The 24,896-nt window shown below is 41.3% G+C and overlaps 1 protein-coding gene and 1 pseudogene across 8 annotated transcripts in view, besides 1 other annotated feature; one reads left to right on the forward strand and one right to left on the reverse strand.

The window, feature by feature from the left end:
• Positions 7,512-7,693, forward strand: RNU4-48P (RNA, U4 small nuclear 48, pseudogene; annotated as a pseudogene).
• Positions 15,085-16,036: an enhancer, noted in NCBI's record as "NANOG-H3K27ac-H3K4me1 hESC enhancer chr2:128237383-128238334 (GRCh37/hg19 assembly coordinates)". NCBI's record gives its function as "activates a minimal SCP1, AML or CMV promoter by ChIP-STARR-seq in naive H9 embryonic stem cells {active_cell/tissue: H9 hESC(naive)}" and the evidence as "EXISTENCE:reporter gene assay evidence [ECO:0000049][PMID:30033119]".
• The window catches only part of IWS1 (interacts with SUPT6H, CTD assembly factor 1), a 46,525-nt gene continuing 37,718 nt past the window's right edge, over positions 16,090-24,896 (reverse strand). For 3 of the 8 annotated variants that reach the window (XM_005263707.4, XM_017004468.3, NM_017969.3), the window contains exons 12-14: positions 24,457-24,513; positions 21,831-21,942; positions 16,090-16,453 (exon numbers count right to left, since the gene is read on the reverse strand). In XM_005263707.4, coding sequence (XP_005263764.1) covers positions 16,322-16,453; positions 21,831-21,942; positions 24,457-24,513 — 301 coding nt within the window. In that variant the 3' untranslated portion in view covers positions 16,090-16,321. Of the gene's footprint in view, positions 16,454-21,151; positions 21,312-21,830; positions 21,943-24,235; positions 24,514-24,896 lie in introns of those variants that run through there. The other 5 variants (XM_006712626.4, NM_001410923.1, XM_047444948.1 and 2 more) reach the window with 4 other exon arrangements.

The following is a 24,896-nucleotide window of genomic DNA, read 5'->3' on the forward strand; positions in this document are numbered from 1 at the left end:
TTTTAAAAAGGGACTTTATAGCTACGGACAGTCCTATAAGAGAGCAGAAACTGATTTCCTCCCTGTGGTAGGGAGATTTTTCTTACCCTTTTGAACTGTTTCTTTTTTTAACCATGAGGAGGTTACTTTCCATCTAAAAAGTAATAATGTAAAAACCACATGGGGGTGAATGGTATAGAGCCGAGAAGTGCCTGCTCCGGAGGCTGCAAGCTCGGGCTCCCGCAGCACAGCTGCTGCCCACTCTGCTGGAGGCCTCTTCTGGGTGCATCTTCATGAGTTACAAGAAGCACATTACTTTGACCCCAAAGGTAATTATCTTGACTCACTAATTATCTGAATCAGCATATTTGGCTTGGAATCACATAGCTATTACTCCAAACCTGCTCTTTCTTGAAAGAGCAAAGGTTTTTGGCTAGTTGGTTGTTTTACCATTTATAGACATTCAAAAGACTCTTAAGGCAATGTTAAGACTTGTTAACTGGATGGGTGTGGTGGCTCATGCCTATAATCCCAGCACTTTGGGAGGCCAAGGCTGGAGGAGCATTGCTTGAGCCCAGAAGTTGGTGACCAGCCTGGGCCATCATAGTGGGACTAACCTTGCCTCTACTAAAAAAAAAAGACTTGTTGATATGGTTTGGCTGTGTCCCCAACCACATCTTATCTTGAATTGTATCTCCCACAATTCCCACGTCATGGGAGGAACCCAGTAGGAGGTGATTGAATTGTGGGGGTGGGTCTTTCCTCCACTGTTCTCGGGTAGTGAATGAGTCTGATGAGATCTGATGGTTTTAAAAACGGGAGTTTTCCTGCACAAGCTCTCTCTTTGCCTGCAGCCATTCATGTGAGACGTGACTTGCCCCTCCTGCCTTCTGCCATGATTGTGAGGCCTCCCCAGCTATATGTAACTGGAAGTCTTTAAACCTTTTTCCTGTATAAATTACCCAGTCTTGGGTATGTCTTTATCAGCAGTATGAAAATGAACTAATACATTTGTTACATATTTTGAGCCATGGAAAGTGCTCAATTTGGAATAAGTATATGCCCTTGAAGGGTGGCAATTTTCACCAAGATGGATACCACAATATTTGAATGTTTACCATATGCCAAACAATTCCCACACATAATATCTTATTTTCTTCTAACAACACCTCTATAAGGTAAGTGCTATTATTACTCCCACAGAGACCAATTAGGGAAATGACTTATTCAAAGTCAAAGAGTTAGTAAACTATTGGAGCCAGGATCTGAGGCTAGGTCTGGTTAAACTCCAGAGCCTGAGCACATAATCCTTACACTACTGTGAACTGTGGGAAGGGAAATACAAGTTCACACATCACCAAATCCAGTGCCAAGTTAAGCAGATCAAAAACATAACAGTCACTTGGAGGATAACCACAATGAGGGAGCCCTACCTATTAGGCACCTACTGGATGCTGGGCATCCTGCTGGGCACATCCATCCCCATGGCCTCTCTGTGCACTGACATCTGACGTCTTTCTCAGGGAGAAGAAAACTGAAGCTCATGGGGGTGAAGTGACTTTTGCCCTAGGCCAGATAGCCCATAGGTGCAGAAAGGATAAGACTCAGGGTCACATGACCCCAAAGCACTTTCCCTTGCTACTTCTATTCTTGCTCCTGTTCTCTACTCTTAAGTGATCCGGATGGGCTCCTGCATGAGTAGACGATAAGACCACCCTGAAGAATGTTCATTCCTTCCTCATTGCAATAGTGCCACGGCCCTGCTTGGCCGGAGGTGGGGTGTGGTCTGGGGCAAACATGTTCTTCCCCTCCCTTCCCAAACCAGAAGCTGGGACTGTACTGATCTAGAACGGGAGGACAAGGACAGTGAGTCGCTGGGGCTCTTTCTCTTCCCTCAGCCCTGTTTCCCAGTTCCTCCAGGAACCTTACTGACGGCAAGCTTTGTGCTGGCTTCCATTCTGAAGTGGAGGCTCCTGGCTGGGTGTTGCCTGGACACTTTGTTCCTGGTGGGCACTGTGCACTCAGAAGAAGGCTGGGCCAAAATGGGTCTGTACTCGTTTCCAGTGGTAGTTCATCAATAAGGAAGATCACTGAGGCTGTGATCTTCCAGACAGGGTTGTGAAAATAACTAGGAATGAAAAAAGTAGCTGGATCAAAGGTTACAAAGGGTTGGATACATTGGCTCACACTTGTAATCCCAGCACTTTGGGAGGCTGAAGTGGAGGATCACTTGAGGCCAGGAGTTTGAGACTAGCCTGAGCAACATAGTGAGATTCCATTTCTACAAAAAAAAATCTAGTAAGACTATATTTTAAAAAATGCAATCAAGGTATTAACTGGGGGGAAAAAAGAAAGAAAGAAAAAAAAGGGTTACAGAGAACCCTGCTTGACTGAAGGGACTTCGCACACTGCCATTTTACCCACACACTGATAGAAGAAAATGCTTCAAGGAGAACTCATTTACCCAGATAACTTCCTTTAATTAGGAAATTTCAAAAAATTCCCTGAATGGTTTAGATAATATGTTTGTCCAATCATGACTTCACAAGGGATCTGAAGCAACGTAGTTCTGGTCCAGAACTGTCAGTGCTGAGGAGATTCCCAGTGTCCACAGCTGCTGCTCCCAAGCTCACTGCTGGTCTTTCTCTAGACTCTCTTCCTGGGCATTAACTTGAAAGAAGCTGAAGTTTGTTAGCTCTGTGACTCTACCTGGAGCTCCAGCCTTACACATCCCAATCAGGATGGGGCATCTCCCTGGCTCGACAAGCCACAGGGGCTCCAAAACTGCCTGACTTTTCATCTCCCACTCCCATGGAACGTTCTCATACACAGTGTTCTGTTACTGGCACTGTTGCTCCACCACTCACCCAGGCCTAGCCTCCTGCCTCTCTAACAGCCAATGGCGACCAAGTCCTAGCAGTCCTATCTCTAAAGGTCCTCGCTATCTGTCATCTCCCCTTCATTTTCCCAGTTACTCCAGTTACTGTCCTACTGAAGGACCCCCATCCCATCTGGGCTACTATAACCACATGGACCATCCCTTGCTTCAATCATAGAATTCTTTCTTCAGATCAAAGTATATTCAGACACTCGATACAGTAACAAAAGCAAGCTATCCTGGAAGGAAGAAGGAATCAGGAGGCAGAGGTATGAAATATCTGTGGCCTGTATCTCACCTTCTGGGTGAGGTAGACTCCTGCCTCATCTCTTCCCTGGAATTCCTGGGGTTCCCTGAATACACACCATGAAGTTTCCATTTTTGAGATGGATTATTTCTTCTGCTCACAGTGTCTTTCTTTCTTGTCTGCCCAGCACATGGTTAAAGCATGAGATGTGAAACCAGGAAGAACCAGGTCTGAACCTTAGCTCCACCAGTGGTAGCTTCAAACCTTGGTCCTTTCTGAGCCTGCTTCTTCAACCGTAAGGTAAAAATAATATCAGTACTTATGTTATACACCTGTTCACGGCGTTAAATAATGCTATATTTAAGTTGCTTAGCAGAGAGATGGTAAGCACTCAACAAATGTTCACACATCATAATTTTCCTCACCCTTCATGAGTCAACTGGACAGCAACTCCTCCACGAAGCTTTCCCCAATCTCCTCCAGCTGTGTCCCCAGTGAAATCTACCACACTGCATTTATAGTCAGGAGGCACCATTCTGCCTCCCTCCTCACACTGTGACCTCTTTAAGGGCAGAGGCTATCTTGTTCATCTTTGGTTCTCTGCTATTCAGTAGTATCCATCACTTAGTAGAGCTCAGTGTTCACTGAATTAGTTAATTAACAAAAAAGGGAGGAAGTATGATCATTCATTAATGAAATGTATCGAACATGTACTGTGTGACAGACAATGTGCTGGCTGCTGGGGATACATCTGTGAATAAACAGAGGGAGTTCTTGCCCTCATGGGGCTCCCATTCTAATGAGGAGGATACACTCAATAAACAACCACATGTATAGTATACTAGATAATGCAAAGTGCTTTGGGAAAAAATAAAGCAGATTAGGGGTAACAAGGCAAGAAGCAGTTGTTGCTCTTTTTTTATTTTATTTTTTTCAAAATGGAGTCTGACTCTGTCACCCAGGCTGGAGTGCTATGGCGCGATCTCAGCTCACTCCAACCTTCACCTCTCAGGTTCGAGTGATTCTCCCGCCTCAGCCTCCCAAGTAGCTGGGATTACAGGCGCCCGCCACCATACCCGGCTAATTCTTTTTGTATTTTTAGTAGAGACGGGGTTTCACCATGTTGGCCAGGCTGGTCTCGAACTCCTGACCTCAGGTGATCTGCCTGCCTTGACCTCCCAAAGTGCTGGAATAACAGGCGTGAGCCACTGAGACTGACCTTGTTGCTGTTTATGTTAGGTCAGGGAAGGCCTCACAGAAAAGGTGACGTCTGAACAGAGAGCTGAAGAAAGTGAGGAAGAAGGCACATGGACATTAGAGGGTGGGAAGATAGGGAAGAGCACAACCCAGATCAAGGGAGAAGCCAAGTGTAAAGGCCCTGAGGGGAGAGCGTGCTGCACGGGAGGCCAGCCAGCGGGGGCCGGGGCTGGAGTGCTACGAGATGAGGGCAGAGAAGCAGTGGGGCGGGGGTCCTGTGGGGTGCAGATCGTGGGTCATGTGGGGCTCTACCATTCCTTCATGAAGATGTGCATGATTATTGCTTGATTACTTTCTTGGGCATCTTGAAAATCCTGTCCTCCTACCTATGTTAAAATGCAGCAGAAAGGAAAAGTCCTAGCCTTACTCAGTCTTAATGAGTACAAATGAAGTTGTTTTACATTAATATCTAAATCTCAATGGTTTGAGTTCTCACCTGTGCAAATGTAGAATGTCCCAGCTCCGGGAAAATCCTTTTCCCCTTAGTATTTCTAGGAATCCTAGGGGCATGTGCATGGTTGTATGATCCTAAACCAGTTGCCAGGGCTGGTCAGGTCATGCTTTGGCAGCATCAGGCTCCAGTGGTCCTACAGACACACCACAGTAGGGTGCTCCACTCACCTCACCAGCCCCTAGGTCATCCAGAGGATTTATCATTATTCTGAGACTCCACAGGGCCTTGCCTGTGGATCCAGAAAGCTACCACTGTGCCTCAATACAAGACACTACTCTTGGCAGGTGAGAACATTCCGTCTGGGTTTGGATGAGAAGGGCCGTTCCACAGCAACATTTTTTGAACTCCAGTGTTACAGTGTCTATGGACACAGCTTTTAGTTCACACCTAGAGCCCTTCTCTCCCCAGGGAGCAAACTTACCTTCAAGTTGGCTGGTTTGGGACATACCTGGACAGCAGCTTGCCTCCAACCTTCTATCTTCTTGGGAAGCTGGGCTTGCTATCAGACTGGTCCTTTTCTTATGGTAGATTTTCTCTTGAGGCTCCCATTAGTCTCTGCAAGTGGGCCTCCGCCTGGGCCACTCCAGCACATTAGACCTGTCAGTAGTCAAAGCCAAGAGTGCACAAAGTTCCCAACTTTTTCCCAGGATCCCCAGGCCCAACAAAAATCAATGAATGTGATGCCTGAGGAGGATTATTGCCTAACTACGTACCAGTACTGTTGAATCCCATCTCCTACTCAGCTGGGACCCACTGAAGTTCTTCCTCAGGATATTAGCTTTATCAACATCCCAAGGTTTTCCATTTCTTATTCAAGGTGTGACTACACTGAGCAGTAACAGCAAAACCTGAAAGAGAATGGATACAGGTGTTCATTTCAGATGGTACAAGTTTAACAAAGTACAAGAGCAACTTAAGGTTTGACACAAAAACTCTAAGCATATATTTAAATCCTAGTATTTCATCCAGAAAACACCACAGCATAACTGAGAGCACTGGAGGCAGAAATAATTCAGTTTAGATCCATGGATTGCTTGCTATTTACTGTGTGACTCTGGGTAGCCACTTACTTTAAATCTATTTTTCCCACTTATAGAAAGGTAATGATGACCACTTGTTGGAAAACTTGAGGGTAATACTTGTAAAGGTCATAGTAAGACCCAACAACTTGGGCCCAACACCTGGTAGGCACAAAGTCTGTTCTGCTTCCTTTCCCTTTCTGTAGAGAAATGCACAGGATATTCCTTATATGCCACTTATGTTATGGGATTGACATAGGTTTTGTCCCTCATGCTATGGGATTGATTAGGTTTTGCTCTAAAAAGCTTTAAAAAAGAAAATTCATTACTATAAGATCAACTCGATTCCAACTTAATCTTATAGTAACTCTAAGGTATGATTATGCTGCAATTCTAGTGTATTTGATTTTTATTTCATATTGAATATCATTATATTCTCAATAAACCCTTAACAGGCTTTAACTGTCTCATAGCTTTCTCTCTGATTTCCTCGATAAAAACAAAATAGCAATAATTAAGAAAGATCAGAAAATAAAAGCCAAGGAATGAAAAGTCTGAATAAAAGCTATTGCATACTCTACATAGAAAAGATCTAGCTGATATGGTGATCAGGAAGGCACACAGGATCTGGAATCAGGAGACCTGAGCTTGAATTGACTCAGCCACTCTGTAGATGGGAGGCATCTTGGTCTCTATGGGACATTTTCCTCATCTAAGATGCAAATATCATCTCACAGAATTATAATCGGTGTCAAATGACAAGTGCTATATGTTAGTTCAGTTCAACAAGCCAAATAGAGACAATCAGACAGACCTGGTCCCTGCCCCAGGGAGCTCACAGTCTCTTTGACCTGGGCCCTACTTTTTCCCTGATCTGGTTTTTAGTAGAGGCCAGCTTGGAATTGCTGCTCATGACTACATTGATTGACTTCCAGGAGAGCCTTCGAAACACCAGTGCTCACTGACCTAACCTTCTCTGCTGGTCTTACATAGAACTGGTCTGGGGAACTCACTCAATTTCCATGCTATCTCTAGCCAAAATACTTAACTTCTTGCACAAAAATCATAAAATAAAGAATTACAAATAAATCACTCCCCCTGCAAACTCAAAGATCAGGCTCATCCCCTCTCCTGACTGTGTGGCAATATCATCCTTTGCCCAAAAGAGATCCTCTCATACTGGAGACCAAACTCCAGGTCACTTTATTGCCAGTCCTGTGTGTTTACATGCCATCATAATAAAATTTACAAAGTGTTTTCCCTAAAGCCTCGCCCACTGCTACCCAGGTCAAGTAGAACCAAAGGATATCTAGCTGTCTGTCCTTGGGACTGACACACCCTGAATCTCTCCTCTCGCATTTTTAAGCAGTTATGACACAGAAAGAACCTTTGGGCCCAGGACCCTGGGTTTTGTAAGAACCAGTCTTTGGGAGAACAGACCTAAACCCTCTTCTTCTAAAGTGAGTGGTGTTTTTACTAGTTGCTTCTTCAAACTTTGTAATTCGAGTCCTTCTTTAAAGTAACAAAAATGTTTTTAAAGTCTTCTGCTGAATCTCTTACCAAACAATAACCTTCAAGTTTTGGTGAAACCATTACTTTTATATGTTGAGCTTGCTTAAAACAAGGCACGCAAGTAATCCTGTGACATACTCCATTTTCTTCAAAAACTGATGAACAAGCTTTGCGCAGTGGCAGTATCATAGCCAATGAGGTTTACTCAAGGAGTGATTATTGCTAATTGAAAAACTGATGAACATATGAAGTGCATGTCTGTAGCTTAATAGTACAAAGTCAGCCAACTTGAGACCTTGGCTCAGGTATTTTTGCAACATTTCTAGCCCATGACTACACTGGGTAATCCTACCCCTTTGGACTTACCAAACATCTCTGTAATCCTTTAATGTACAAGTAATAGACATCTACATCACTCCAAACAACACTCTACCTGCTCCAGGGGGAGTCTTACGTCAGAGGACTTCTGCTGCTGCAATAGGGGAAGATCACAGAAAGAGACAGTATGGAGTTTGATTCAATAATTTCTGCCTGTCTGAGAGGAACAGTACACAGGCAGGTGGGGAAGACTTGGTTTATAAACAGTGGTTACCAATGCCTTCCAAAAAACTGTACAGTACTTTACTAGTAGTCTCTCTCTACCCCTGCCAGGACAATCTAAGCAGAAACTCTGCAGTTAGAAGGCAATAGAATGATATATTTAAAGTGATGAAAGAAAAACCTGTCAACCAAGATTTCTTTCTTTTTTTTGAGACAGGGTCTCACTCTGTCACCCAGGCTAGAGTGCAGTGGTGTGATTTCAGCCCACTGCAGTACTACACTACCTCCTGTAGTCAAGGGATCCTCCCACCTCAGCCTCCTGAGCAGCTGGGACTACATGCATGAGCCATCACATTCAGCTAATTTTTCTATTTTTTGTAGAGATGGAGTTTTGCCATGTTGCCCCGGCTGGTCTCGAACTCCTGAGCTCAAGTGATCAGCTTGTCTCAGGCTCCCAGAGTGCTGGGATTACAGGTGTGAGCCACCACGCCCAGCCAAGAATTCTGTATCTGGTAAAACTATCCTTCAAAATCAAGGGAGAAACTAAGATATCCCTAAATAAACAAAAGCTGAAGGAATTCATTACCACTAGACCTACCCTGCAAGAAACGTTAAAAGGAGTCCCTTCCTTCAGGTTGTAAGTAAACAACACTAGACAGTAACTCAAAGATGTATAAAAATATACATTTTTCCTTTCAAGGTAAACACATAGACAAATATAAAAATCAGTATTATTGCAATTTTGGTTCGTAACTCCCCTTATTATTTTACAGGACTTAAAATAGAAAAGCATAAAAAACTATAAATCTTTGCTAGTGGGTACACAATATATAAAGATGTAATTTGTGGCAGCAATAACATAAAGAAGAGACGGAGCTGTAAAGGACGTCTTTTGTATGCAATTAAAGTTATCAGTTTAAAATAGGTTGTTATAACATTAGGATGTTTTATCTAAGTCTCATGGTAACACAAAGGAAATATCTACAGAATATACACAAAAGGAAGTGAGAAGGGAACCAAACACGCCACTATAAAAAAATCAACTGAACTCGCTGGGCGCGGTGGCTCACACCTGTAATCCCAGCACTTTGGGAGGCTGAGGCGGGCGGATCACAAGGTCAGGAGTTCGAGACCAGCCTGGCCAATATGGTGAAACCCTGTCTCTATTAAAAATACAAAAATTAGCTGGGTGGGCGTGGTGGCACGTGCCTGTAGTCCCAGCTACTTAGGGGGCTGAGGCAGAGGAATCGCTTGAGCCTGGGAGGCAGAGGTTGCAGTGAGCCGAGATCATGCCACTGCACTCCAGCCTGGGTGACAGAGCGAGACTCCGTGTCAAAAAAAAAAAAAAAAAAAGAAAAAGAAAAACAAAATCAACTGAACTCAAAGAAACACAGTAAGGGCGTAAATGAGGGACAAAAAGAGCCTATAAGAGATACAGAAAACAACAAAATGGCAACAGTAAGTCCTTCCCCATCAGTAATTACTTTAAATGTAAATGAATTTTAACTCCCAAATCAAGACAGATTGCCAGAATGAATTTAAAAAAAAGAGTCCATCTACATACTGTCTACAAGAGACTCACTTTAGATCTAAGCACACACAGGTTGACAAAGAAAGGACAGAAAAAGATATTCCATGCAAATAGTAATGAAGACAGTAGGGGTGACTATACTAATATCAGACAAAATAGACTTTAAGTCAAAAACTGGTACAAAAGACAAAGAACATTATATATTTTTAAAAGGATCAATTCACCAATGAGATATAGCAATTATAAACATACACAAACACACACACACACACACACACACACACACACCGCAAACATAAGAGCTCCTAAATATATGAACAAACACTGACAGAACTGAAGGGAGGAACAGATGGCCTACTGTAACAGTAGGCTTCAATACCCCACTTTCTATAACTGATAGAAAAGCAAGAGACTAGATCAAAAAAGAAACAGAGGCTGGGCGCAGTGGCTCACACTTGTAATCTCAGCACTATGGGAGGCTGAGGCGGGTGAATTGCTCGAGTCTAGGAGTTCAAGACCAGCCTGGGCGACATGGTAAAACCCCCCCCATCTCTACTAAAAATACAAAAAATTAGCCAGGCATGGTGGTGCACGCCTATAGTCCCAGCTACTTGACAGGCTAAGGCAGGAGAATCACTTGAGCCTGGGAGGCAGAGGTTGTAGTGAGCCAAGATCGCACCACTTCACTCCAGCCTGGGTGACAGAAGTGAAACCCTGTCTCAAAAAGAGGACTTGAACAACATGATAGGCCATTTGGACCTAACACATAGACAAAAAGCATACCACCCAACAATAAGCAGAATACACATATTCCTCAAGAGTATATGGAACATTCGCTGGGACAGGCTATTAGGCCACAAGTAAGTCTTAAAACATTTGAAAAGACTGAAATTATATAAAGTAGCTTTCTAATCACAATGGAATAAAATTAGAAATCCATAGCAGAAAGAAAACCCTAAAATCCACAAATATGTGGAAATCAAATGGTACATTCTTAAACAACCAATGGGTCAAGGAAGAAGTCACAAGGGAAATAAGAAAATAACTTGAGACAATGAAAATAAAAACACCAAAGCTTATGGGATGCAACAAAAGCAATGCTGAAAGAAATTTGTATCTACAAATGCTCAAATTTTAAGATCTCAAATCAACAACCTAGTTTTATACCTTAAAGAACAAGAAGAACAAACTAAACACAAAGCAAGCAAAAGGAAAGAAATAATAAAGATTAGAGCAGAGATAAACATAACAGAGAATACAAAAAAAGAGAAAAAAAAATCAAAGAAAACAAGAGCTGGTTCCTCAGAAATATCAACAAAATTGACAAACTTTTAGCTAGGTGAAGAAAAAGAGAAGACTCAAATGCGAGGACATTATGACCCATTTTACAGAAACAAAAAGGATTATAAAACACTACTATGAACAACTGTATGCCACCAAGTTGGATAACCTAGACAAAACGGACAAATTAAATTCCTGGAAACACAACCTACCAACTCTAAATCATGAAAAAATAAAAATCTGAACAGATCTATAACTAGTAAGGAAACACCCAATGAACAAAAGTTCAGGACCAGATGGCCTTACTGGTGAGCTCTACCAAACATTTAAAAAAGAATACCAATCTTCCTCATACTTCAAAAAATTGAAGAGAAACACTTCCAAACTCCAAACTATGAAGTCAGTATTATCCTGATACCAAAACCAAAGGCACTAAAACTACAGACCAATATCCCTGATAAATATGTTGCAAAAATCCTCAACAAAATACTAGCAAAGAAAATTCAAGAGCACACTAAAAGAATTACACCCCATGACCGTGAAGGATTTATTCCCAAAATGCAAGGATGGTTCAACAACAACAAATATAAATCGATCAATATAATACACCACATTAACAGAATGAAGAAAACAACTCATGATCATCTCAATTGATGCAGAAAAGACATTTAACAAAATCCAACACCATTTCATGATTTAAAAAAAAACACTCTACAAACAAGGAACAGAAGGAAACTCAACATAATAAATGTCATATATGAAAAGCCCACAGCTAATATCATACTCATACTCAGGACTGAAAGCTTTTTATCAGAAACAAGACAAGAATGCCCACTTTTACCACGTCTGTTCAACATAGTACTGGAAATCTTAGCCAAAACAATTAGGCATAAAAAGGAAACTAAAAAGCCATCCAAGCTGGAAAGAAATTAAATTATCTGTTTGCAGACAACATGATATTACATGTAGAAATGCCCAGAGTCCACAAAACACCCCCAAAGCCAAACAAAACTGTTAGAATAAACAAATTCAGAAAAGCTGCAGGATACAAAAATCAATACAAATCAGTCGCATTTTTACATGTTAACAATGAACAATCCTAAAAGGAACTTATGAAAACAAATTATGATAGCATCAAATACAATAAAATACTTAGGAATATACCTAACCAAGGAGGCGAAAGACTTCTACATTGAAAACTACAGGCCATCATGGTGGCTCACATCTGTAATCCTAGCACTTTGGAGGCCAAGGCAGGGGGATCGCTTGAGGCCAGGAGTTGAAGAGCAGCCTGGGCAACATAGCAAGACCTCAACTCTACAAAAAAAATTATCCGGGCATGGTGGCACACACCTGTAGTCCTAGCTATTTGGAAAGCTGAGGTGGGAAGACTGCTTGAAGCCAGGAGTTTGAGACAAGCCTGGACAACAAAGGGAGAATCTGAATCAAAAAGAAGAATGAAAAGAAAGAAAGAAAAAGAAAAGGAAAAAAGGAAAAGAAAACTACAAAACATTAAGGAAATTAAAGAAGACACCAATAAATGAAGATATTCCATGGTCATGATTCAAAGACTTAATATTGTTAAGAAGTCAATACTACCCAGAGCACCTCTACAGATTCAATGCAATTCCTAACAAAATACCAATAATGTTTACTGCATATATAGAAAAATCCATTTTAAAATTCACATGAAATCTCAAATAGCCAAAACAATCTTGAAAAACAACAAAGTTGGAAGACTCACACGTCCTGACTTCAGTGGGGACAGACACACAGACAGTTCTATATTGCAACATGCAGACCAATGGAAAAGAAGAAAGTCCAGAAATCAACTCTTACACATATGGTCAAATGATTTTTGAAAAGACTTGCAAGACCATTCCATGGGGAAAATAAGTTTTTTTCAGTAAATGTTGCTGGGGAAACTTGATATCCATATGCAAATGGATAAAGTTGGAACCTTATTTTACACAACATACAAAAAATCAACTAGAAATGGATCAAAGACCTAAACATAAGAACTAAACTTACAAAATTATAGGGTAAAAGCTTCATAATATTGAATTTGGCAATAATTTTTTTGATATGACACCAAAAGCACAGGCAATAAAAGAAAAAAGTGAGATACAGCAAAATTTAAATGTGTGCAACGAAGAACACAATCAAGAGTGAAAAGGCAATCTAAAGAATGAAAGAGAGTATTTGCAAATCATATAGCTGATAAAGCATTAACATGAGTACACAAAGCACTCCTACAACTCACACCAAACAACCCAATATAAAACTGGGCAAATGACTTGAATAGACATTTCTCCAAGGAAGATATATAAATGGTCAAAAAGTACATTAAAAGATGCTCTACATCACTATCATTAGGGAAATGCAAACTAAAATCACAAGATACCACCTCACATCACTTAGGATGGCTACCATCAAAAAATAAAAATAACAAGTGTTAGCAAGCATATGGAGAAATTGGAACTCTTGTGTACTATTGGTGGGAATATAAAATTGTGTAGCCCCTTATGGAAAGTGTATGTATGGCACTTTCTAAACAAATTTAAAATGGAATTACCATATGATCTAGCAATTCTACTTCTAGGTATATAACCAAAAGAATTGGAAAAAAAAATGGTTGTTTTTTAATATCTCTAAAAGTGAAGAAAAAAAGGTCTTGAACAAATACTTGTACACCCATGATCACAGCAGCGTTATTCACAATAGCCAAAGGTGGAGGCAACCCAAGTGTCCATTGACAGATGAATGGACAAACAAAATGTGGTATATACACACACTGGAATATTATGCAACCTTAAAATGCAAGGAAATTTGGACACATGGACAAACCTTGAGGACATTATACCAAGTGAAATAAGACAGTCGCAAAAAGACAAATGTATGATTCCACTTATATGAGGTACCTAGAACAGACAACTCGTAAGAGACAGAAAGTAGAATGGTGGTTGCCAAGAGCTTGGGGGAGGAAGGAGAGTTCTTTGATAGGTAGAGTTAAAATTTTGCAAGATGAGAAGATTTCTGAAGATGAATGGTGGTGATGGCGATACATTGTGAACATACTCAATGCCACTGAGCGGTAAAACTGTTTAAGATAGTAAATCTTAAAACCGGAAGGGGAAGAAAAAAAGCCAAGCATGAGAGTGCATGCCTATAGTCCCAGCCACTTGGGAGGAGACTGAGGCAGGAAGATTGCTTGAGCCTGGGAGTTCAAGGCTGCAGGGAGCTAGGATCACACCACTGCACTTCAGCCTGGGCGACACAGTAAGAACCCATCTCTTAAAAAACAAACAAAATCCCCCACAACTCTGTATCATCATAGCCAAGTTGTCAAAGTTAGTATCATCAATTCTGGGACAAAACTAAAGTCTATGTTCTTGGAAGAAATATGCTGAAGTATTTGGGGCTCAAGGGGCAAGTTGTCGGCAAGTTACTCTGAGTCTGCAAAAATAGCTCTATGCATATACAAGATGACAGAGTCAATGACGTGGCAAAACGTTAACACTTGGTAAATATCAGTGAGTATACCGGAGTTTATTTACTATTTTTGCAACTACTATAAATTGGAAATATCTTCAAAATTAAAGGTTTTTCTGGCCAGCTAGGTTTGAGCTGCCATAAAACCAACACCAAGGATCATTTATATAGAAACTAATTTTTTCCTTCAAACACAGTACAGGAGAATCTCTTACCATTTTGAATTCCCCGGGTATGGTTTAAAACTTTTTACTTGCCAACATCGTTAAAGTTTTACCCTGTAATAGTGAAATTTTCAGGTAATTGGAGCTTACCCCATTAAATGACAAAATTGTGTAACTTAAAAATCTTTCTTAAATACAACCTTTGTTGTCTTTGTTTCAAATTTATTTTTTAATGATCAGTGTAAGGCTTCACTAGATGCCTCTGCTTTTTCCTTCTCAAGTGTTTTTGAGGGTATTTGTATGAAACATTGCAGAAAAGCTTAGGTTTTTGTCTCCATCTAGTGGCTAGCTATTACCTTCTAATGCCTTTATGCACCTGCTTTTTACAAAGCACTATATCCCACTGTGCTTCTGCGTTTGCTGGAAGTAAATAGTTTGAGAGTTTCTTGTGAGCAGTGTTTTAGTATCTAAACTTCATTATTTTAGCTGTTCAAAGGCTTTTTTGGCCAAAAGTAGTTTTATGTGTTTCTGAAGATCAAGGTGCCAATCCGTATCAGAATAGGATTTCTGAAATTAAAATAATCTAGTTGATAAAACGTTCTTGGGCCTCGTCATCTTGACCTTAAGAGACCTCTCATAATTAAGTCTATAGAGACTATTATCACAAAAATAGAGCAACAAGAAACATAGCTACAAGCTATAATTTTTCTCTCTCCTCTAACTGCTCAACTGCTCTAAGCTTTCGGCATAGTGATTTTCAGTTATATCCATATTTCCTTGAAGACAGTAGTATTTCTTGATCTTTTCTCTGTTATAAGCCCCCATCCCAGAGAAAAATGAAAATCAAAATAATTATCCCAAATAAGAGAAACACATTAATAAGATTTTGTTGGTATTCCATTTCCACCCCAACTGAGGTACTGCAATTCAATTCTGATACGACACACCCAGAGCTGGCATCAGACTCCACGGGTTTAAGAGGTCAGTCCTCCACAATACTGCCCCCACTTCAGATGCAAGCCACAAGTGAGGCATCCAGGCTACTGTCGCTTCTGACCAGCTACAAATTTGGGGTTCTCATAAACCTCTCAGGTTTAAGAACTTGCTGAAATGACTCACAGAACTCAGGAAAGCACTATCCTTCCCTAGAAAACACTATGATTAGTTTTACTACAGAAGATATGAATTAGGAGGGCCAGTCAAATGAAGGGATACATAAGGGAAGGTCTGGGAGGGAAGGCAGAGCTTCTGTGCCCCTGTCCTCATGGAGGGGAATCCTCTCCCTCCCAGCACACCAATGCTTTCACCAACCAAGAAGCGTCATTGAGCTGTGGGGTCCAGAGCTCTTCATCAGGTCCCATTTGGCAGGCATGGTTGATTAAATCAAACAGGTCACTGACTGCGTCTCAATCTCCCGGGTCCTGCTGGCCCAACCCTCTGTAGTAGCTGTTTCTGGTTACCAGCCTCCACCCTAAAGCCCACCATACAGTCACCTCGTTAGCATAACAAGAGACGCTCTATCACTCAGGAAACCACAAGTGTTTTAGACATTCCTTGTCAGCAACCAGGGGCAAAGGCCACACAAATTCCTCATTATACCACAATGAGGGAGGATTGAACCTCTAAGGGTCACAAACCCCTATAATATCATAAGATTTTTTCCCACACAACAAGAAACAATCTTTGCCCCTATTAAGAATGTATCCTCTAAGAAATGAAGAGACAGCCCCCCAAAAACCAGAATGAAATTTTATTGTGTAAAGTTTATAGAAGTATGACTAGTATTCCTTTGTACAAAGTACACAACGGTTTTAAATATAACTGAGAGAAATGTGAGTCCTATGACAACATCTGATACACGCTGAACCATTTACAGACACACTAAAAATGTTTTAAAATATCTTCTTTCTCCAAAGAGTCCATTGCGCATTTCTTAGAGTAGAGATGGGGACACATTCCAGGCAAGGTCACAATGGCATTTTGTTGCCCTCAATGCTGATTTTCACTGCGTGTGCAGATCTGCTTTTTTTCCTTATATCTGTGAACTTTCTCATCTGTTTATCCAGTCGACTGATACCCTTCTTGGAGGTCGCCTGAAACTAAGAGTAAGGGAAAAATTAAAGAGCAAACTACTGAAATACGTAAGTCTAGTTATGTCTTTCATCTTCTTATAACTGAGTTAGCAACCAGAAGAGCTTCTAGCTCTGGAATAACCAGAATGTGTGTTGATGACCTCAAGAACAACAAAGCAAGTATAGATGGTGTTAGAAACGCATATTAAACTCTCTCAGTGAAGAATAATTCTGTTGTCTGTGCTTTATTTTTAATTTTGCTGCAGTCCATGGAGGTCTCCTAGATGGGAGAAAGGGGGGGGGAAACTGAGACTATGATCCTCCCAATTCCATCATGTACATTACGTTTTAACTGCATGCGTTTCCCTTTCGAAGACCAAATGTGGAGCTAGCCGCTTGACATGCACTTTCAAACAGTGCTGGCATAAAAAAGAATGACCTAAAGCAAAGTCAGGTCAGCTGAGAAAAAGCCTTAAGCATAATAAATGAGGTTAGATGATTAGTGAAGTAAACCCCTAAGTGCAGGAGCTCTTGAGTTTTTACACTTGGGGTGAATCCCTGCTCTAATTCAGTAACTTCTGTGACCCTGGGCAAAGCATACCCAGGGTAGGTACTCCTTCCAGAACTGCTGAGAGAAGGAAATGAGATAGTGATGTCAGATCCAAGCACAGAGGCTGAGCACATATAGTCAGTGCTCAAAATAATAGGAGCTATTACTATTTTACTACTTCACAAGCAACTAGATTTACATTAAGTATACTTGACACAAAAAGAATATTAAGTCTTTACCCATTTGCCCTTCATGTTTAAAGGTTTGGTTTGGGGGCTATTTTATATTTTGAAAATACTGCCTTGCAAAGATGTGGTCTCCAAGAAACTGCCATCTTTTAGAAATGCTAGAAAGGTTTGCTGACTCTGTTGTAAAACAATTCAGATGTTTAAGAATGATGACTGCTTAAAAAGAGATGGGTTTTTCTAATTCTTCTCCCCATACATTTACTACTGAATCACCTCTGAAACTCAATTCAAAAGAATGCTAAAATAAGGTAGGGCCTGGGAGACACTCTGGGGTCAGTACCAGCCTGGTGAGCTTTGGTGGAATCTTATCCCACCTGTGGACCCAGCCTCAACTATGACATGAAGCCAGCTGAGCACTAGGCAAGGAACTCTAAGTCATTCTTGACCAAGAGCCATGTTGACCTGTCTTTCTAGGAATATCTCAATTCAAATATTATTCTGTATCGTCTCAATACTTGGCATTCGTACTCTGAGTAAGCATAAAAAGTGTCAGATGAGAAAGAGCTATGCCACCATCACACTATCTCCCAGATTTCCTGGACAGTCCCAAATATCTGACTTCCTTTTAGAGGATGTGCCGTGATCTTAGTACTTGTACTTGGTCCACATCGGAAGCTTTACCTGCTCAAATCTCTGCCAACTACACAATTCCCAGCAGCTTCACACATTAACTGGACTTCCCTTCGCCTACTCCCAGGACCCTCACTAACTGTCTAAGCCCTGATGGATCTGTCTAGCCTCAGCAATCAGGGCACACACGGGCCAGTGGGTTACAAAATATATGACTGGTAGTTGCAGATGCCTACTTACCCCAAGCTTGAAAAGACAGACCAGAGTACCTCATACACCAAGTTCAATGATCTCTCTCCTGATTCATCAAGGGAACGCTACACTTCCTTAGAAATTAAGAGTGTGTGCTACACTGCTTTACCAGAGCAAGGCCAAAAGCAGCTTCAATTATGGTACAACTGTGTGAAGACACAATGCAAAACCACTCAAGAATGCTCACTCAAATGGATTTTTACCATGGTAAGTAAAAAACAAACCCAATAAGGTATAAAAGAATACAATCACAATGTCGCTTGAAAAAAAAACAAAAAACAAAACAAAAACCCAGTAATTGTCTATGCATATGTATGAAAAAAAAAGAAATAATTTAAAATGTTAACATTAAGTTGTGGTGGGATTACAGATGGCATTAATTTTATTTATGCTTTCTGTATTTTTAAAAGTTCATGAAAAAATAGGCATTCCTTTGTCATTTTACTGTTATTTTAGAAGTATTCCACGGAGTAAATGAACATATAAAAAATACAATGTAGCACAGGTTACTACATTATTTAGGAGTAAAAAATCAGAAATCATAAACGAACGAATAAACACATTATATTCATGGCCGGGTGTGGTGGCTCCCGCCCGTAATCCCAGCACGCTGGGAGGTCAAGGCCAGAGGATCGCTTGAGACCAGCCTGAGCAAGATGGTGAAACCATCTCTACAAAGAAAGAAAATACATAATAAAAAAAAAAGCAAATTATATTCAGGATAGACCATTATGCAGCCATTAAAAATGATAAATCGACTAGGTGGTTTAATGAAGGAAAATAACCAAAATTATAATTTGGTCGGGGCGGGGGGTGGTGGGGTGGGGGGGTTGGGCTGTGTGTGTGTGTGTGTGTGCGTGTGCGTGTGTGTGTGTGTGTGTTTTCTAGAGATAGGGTCTCACCTAGGCTGGAGTGCAATGGCATGATTCTAGCTCACTGCAGCCTCAAACTCCTGGGCTCGAGTGATTCTCCTACCTCACCCTCCCAAGTAGCTAGGACTACAGATGTATGCCACCATGCCCGGCTAATTTTTTAATTTTTTGGTAGAGATGGAGTCTTGCTATGTTGTCCAGGCTGATATTTAGTATAATTTTAATTAACGTTATCAGTAGAAAAAAGACAACAAATACATCAAACTGCTTTTGAATGCTAGGACCATGAATAATGTTTCTCTTTGTACTTAAACATTTTCTATAATTATAAAAACTAAGTTCAAGGCATATCTGGAAATACATTTAAAACCTCAAATTGTTAGCCGGGCATGGTGGCTCACACCTGTAATCCCAGCACTTTGGGAGGCCGAGGCGGGCAGATCACTAGAGGTCAGGAGATCAAGACCATCCTGGCTAACACAGTGAAACCCCATCTCTACTAAAAATACAAAAACAAAGTTAGCCAGGTGTGGTGGTGGGCGCCTGCCCTAGTCCCAGCTACTCAGGAGGCTGAGGCGGGAGAATGGTGTGAACCCGGGAGGCAGAGCTTGCAGTGAGCAGAGATTGCACCACTATGCTCCAGCCTGGGCGACAGAGTGAGACACCGTCTCAAAAACAAAAACAAAAACAAAAAACAAAAAACCCTATTTATTTTTTATATTTATTTACATAACTTTGAAAACAAAAATGATACTTAAGACAAAAAGTGTTTCATTGGAAACCCATTTCCATTTCTTTTCCTGGACATGTCTTTTCTAATACTGCTCATTAGCGTCTACAATGTGGAAGCAAGTCCTGAGTGAATATGCAACCCTGCTCCACCTATGGGGAAGTGGGACCAGAACCAGAAACATCAGCACACAGGGACACAGCCCTGGAAACACAACCTCTGCTTTCAAAGCAGATTGGCCACTAAGAGTTTTTATTACCTATTTTCTTTGCCATATTGTAGTTCCCAATTCTCAAAAATAAAAATGTTAAGAGAAATATGAAAGACGGCTAAAAAGAGAGAAGAAACAATGAAAAAGGAGATGGCTCATGCCTGTAATCCCTTTGGGAGGCCGAGGCGGGTGGATCACGAGGTCAGGAGATCAAGACCATCATGGCTAACAGGATGAAACCCCGTCTCTACTAAAAATACAAAAAATTAGCCGAGCATGGTGGCAGGAGCCTGTAGTCCCAGCTAACTGGGAGGCTGAGGCAGGAGAATGGTGTGAACCCAGGAGGCGGAACTTGCAGTGAGTGGAGATCGCACCACTGCACTCCAACCTGGGCGACAGAGCAAGACTCCGTCTCAAAAAGAAAAAGAAAAAGAAAAAGAAAAAGGACAGAAGGGCAAAAAAGAAACAGGTACAGGGGACATGGAGAGGTGGTCAGGGACACGGATATGGGCACAAGAAAGAGGAGGGAGAGAGAGAGGAGGAAGTTCTTGGCACAGAACTAGTCCTTCTCTACCCTCGATTTATTCTCAAGAAATAAGAAAGTACGTTTTGTTTTGATAGTCACTTAATAGCAACATGAACTGGCAGGTAGGAGAGTGGAGTCAGTGGAAACAGCTGCCAAAGCAGGGGTCATGGAGAAGAACCATAGGCAGGCAACACACACACACTGTGTGTGCTCCGCAACAAAGGTGCCATTAGTCTCAAAGCATAGTGGATCAGTGAGTTGGGCTTATGAATGTTCCCAAGTCTTTTCCACTTCTGACCACATTTTGAGTATGTGTTAATCAAATTCATCTCCTAAATATTTAGTATAAGGCTTTATGTAATGAGTTCTCAAATGCATGTTGCTGAGCCACTGACAGCAGGAAACAAGCTACCTCCCACCAGGAAACCACTAACTAGTTTATATGCCTGTAACACATATCACTGTAATTCTGGGTCCTAACAAAAACCTTTTTCATAAAAACGGGTACCAGTCAGGAAGACCCAAATGCATATTAGGGAAGTAATTATCTATTACTCTCTAGGATACTGATAAAGGAAGGGACTTCCATGTCAATTTCTAAATATTCAAGAGGCCTTGAATATCCCAAGGTGCCTGTTAGGGTCATTATTTTGAAACTAAAAGCAGACCTGGCCTCTTCTGATTAAGAAAGCACACACACACACACTTTTCACTCTGACTGTTGACAATTCAAGCCCATGCACAGTACATGCTTCCTTGGGAATACCTCTCGTGTATATACTCTGGTAGGGCCAGGCCTATAGGGGCATCCTGTTGCCTTCAATGCTGAACTTGACAGCACGATGCACTTTGCTGAGTCGTTTCTGTTCTGCAAATCGCCTCTTATGCTTTTCCAATCGGCTTAGGCCCTTTTTAAGAATACCAGGCTAGAAGTAGTAGTTTGATTGGAGAATAAAAAGAGATTACTGAGAAACACTGAAGATCCACTGAGCAGTATTTACAATGATAACAGAATAAGTGTCTACCCTAATCATTTGCAATGGAATTGCTTAAACCGTTGAAGAGAAAGGGAGAGGTAGGTCTGCTGAAGCACGTAAGCTCTGTTTCTCATGGTTATTAAAAAAAAAAATTCACTGTATCAGAATACTCCAGGTTTCAATTTCAAGCCTTGCTTGAAGTAAAGGGATTAATAAGAAGAAACTTCCCTACCTGATAATGTTGAATTAAGACTGAAGAAAAATTCATCAGCAATAAACTTTAATCCTGGGTAATACTTTTCCTTTCTCTATTGCTCAATTTGTGGTTTGGCTAGATAAGCGACCAGAAAACAGTCCTCTCTGAATCAGACAAACTTCAAGAGCTACAAGGGTTATTAACACATGAAGTAAAGAGTCAAACAGTAATCTGCAGGTGAGATCCACCTTGCCGATCCTCCGCTTGCTTACCCTGGATGACTCCATTTCCACATTCCATTTGGGCCTGACAACATAGTCCTTGTTTGAAGGCATTGGGACCCTTGCACGGGCACAGAATCCAGGATCTCCAGGTCTAAGAGCCCTGAAAAAGGGAAGAGGAAGAGCATGCTTCTTATGTGGCCAGCCACAGTGGGGCACATAGGCCATTTCACACTCCTGTTCCTACATCCACCCATTAAGCTGCAATGTTCGAAACTCCTCTACTCCCCACCAAAGGTCACCCAATCCACCCTCCTGCCGCCTCCCAGCTAGCCTGTCATCACACACACTACAGTATGCATTCCTCACTTCTCTTCCAAAGCCAACTTGCTCTGCATTTGCATGAATCCTTTTCTCCTCTCCTCAGCTTCAGATATACTCATGCCCCTCTGCCTTCCAAGGCTAGTCCCGCCCGCATGACTTGGAATCCCCTTTTCTCTTGTATAGTGGAGTCACTCATGAGTTCACTTGTGAGATGAGGAATTGTGAAGAATTGAGTCGTCAAATGACCCCCAAAACTCCCAGTATGCCTATAAAGTAGTTTTTCAATATACAACTCATACATCAATTTTTAATGTTTATTTTTGTAAAAATCTTTTGAAGATAATTACAGATTCAAATGAAGTTGTAAAAAATGATAGAGAGAGAGATCCAATGTCTCTCCCAATAGCAACAACTTGCGAATCTACAGTATAGTATCACAACCAGGATACTGATGTTGATACAGTACACTAATCTTATTTACACTTCCCCAGTTTTACTTGCACTCATTTATGTGTATGTATTTAGTTCTATGCAAATCCGTGGGTAACCATGCTAGACTAAAATAAGATTACTAACCTTCCAAAGTAAAGCCTATCTATGGATGCCTGGGCATTCAAACCATTCAGCATTTAGGTAACTAGTAAAGAGTGGATCTATGTGTGTCTGCTGGGGATGGGGAGAGAAGGGTAAAAAATTCTCAATTGTTTCTATTCTCTTGTACAGTTTACCCCATTTTTAACCCTAAACTTGAATCTCGCTCTGTTGCCCGGGCTAGAGTGCAGTGGCACAATCTCAGCTCACCGCGAGCTCCACCTCCTGGGTTTGTGCCATTCTCCTGCCCCAGCCTACAAAGTAGCTGGGACTACAGGCGCCCGCCACCACGTCCAGCTAATTTTTTGTATTTTTAGTAGAGATGGGGTTTCTCCATGTTAGCCAGGATGGTCTCAACCTCCTGACCTCGTGATCTGCCCACCTCAGCCTCCCAAAGTGCTGGGATTACAGGCGTGAGCCACCGCGCCCGGCCAACCTTAAACTTTTATAACCTTCATATATATATGAACAGACTAATTGGCTTGCCAAGAAAATTCCCTGTAACTCTTACTTTCCTTCTGAAGCCACGGTCTCATCAACTTCCTTCCTAAACAAACTTTTCCTCTAGCTCATCCCCTATTCTCTTCTTGCAATCGGGATGCTGCCTGACTACCAACACACCTGCACAAAGCCCTCTGCAGCACCTGCCACTGGCCCATGCTTTTGTCATTGCCACCTCCAGCTCAGCCTCATTCCCCTCCAGGCTCTGCTCCAACGCACAGGACCACAGGTGCTCATTCCCCTTCGCTGGCTGCTCTGCCTGGCTATGCCCCCTTTCAAAATTGTTTAGTTCGTTTCTTACTCTATACTCTCTTGATTGAACAATCTTTTCTATGGAGAGAACCATCAAATCTAGGTCTCTAGCCCAAACATCTCTTTACAAGTTCTAGACCCATAATATTTATAGGGCTATCTCATTAGGCATGTCACATTTAATATGCTCAAAAGAGAACTTGCCTGGTCCCTCAAATCTACTTCTCCCTCCATTTTGGTGAAAGGTAATAAACACTGTCTCAGCACTCAGGTTAAAATTTTGGCTGAGGTCTTCAACTCTAGCCATCTTCTCTCCCACTAAGTCACCAACATATGACAGCTTTGCCTCTGCAATGTCTTCTCACCCCTCTGTTTCCCAACTACCACCTCTGTTTAGCTGTATCACTGCCTCAGTCCCACTGCCCTCCAATCCATCCTACATGATGCCATTGGCATCAGCACCCTAAATCAAATCAAACCAGATGGCTTCACATCCAGCCTCAAAAACTTCCTGTGGAATCACAAGACGTGAAAATTCCTCATCTTGATTCAAAGCCCTTCACCGGTCTATTATTTCCAACCTTATCTTCTACCACCTCAGGCCCCATACTACTGTCCAACCCCTTCAGTCTACTTGCCATTCCAAACACAGACCTGGCACACTTAGCCCATGGCTTTACCAAAGACCTCCCTTTGCCTATCATCCTTGTAAAGACTTACACTTTTGAGAGCATAGACTATTTTTAATTTGTTTTTATATTCTCAGAGCACAACAAGGAGTCTAGCACTTAGCAAACAGCAATAAAATCTTTATTGAATGAATTATTTTCTCAATTTTCCTTACATCCCCAGAGTACCCAATACAATGCTTTGTAGATACTAAACGTTAAAATGAAAGTCACCTCCCACAAATGAGAGCATAACATCATTTCATTTACTACTTTTCTTAAAGCAGCAAACGGAAATTCTCTATATAGTCTAGGAAGAAAAATTAACATTAAAACCTTACTTCTCCTCTCCTGTCAGCACCTTTTCCAGGTCTCTTCTGGGTGTCTGACCACCAGTGCTGAAAAAAAAGTAAACAAGGAGATACCAGGAATATTAGAACCTAATAACTCAGAAAAAGAGCAAACTAAAAATCAAACTTAGACCATAACTATTAATAGCTCTTTTACGATGGATCAGGGAAAATAATTCCTAATCTTTAAAAAGTACTACTCATTTTAGTATTCATTTGCATAACAGGTTTCCTTGTGGATGAGCCGTAATTGCCACATTTGTAACTAATGACCCTGTCCTCCTGGATGCAACTGTATCCACTATTATCAATACAAACTAAAACTATAACATTTTTTCTTCTAGGAACTCGGAAACGGGACCCAGAAAGTTGTTTTCTCAAGTGGATGGAACAACACAAGCAATCAGTATCCTGAAACAGGCCCTGTTCCA

The sequence above is a fragment of the Homo sapiens genome, chromosome 2, assembly GCF_000001405.40.
Source record: "Homo sapiens chromosome 2, GRCh38.p14 Primary Assembly".
NCBI lineage: Eukaryota > Metazoa > Chordata > Mammalia > Primates > Hominidae > Homo > Homo sapiens.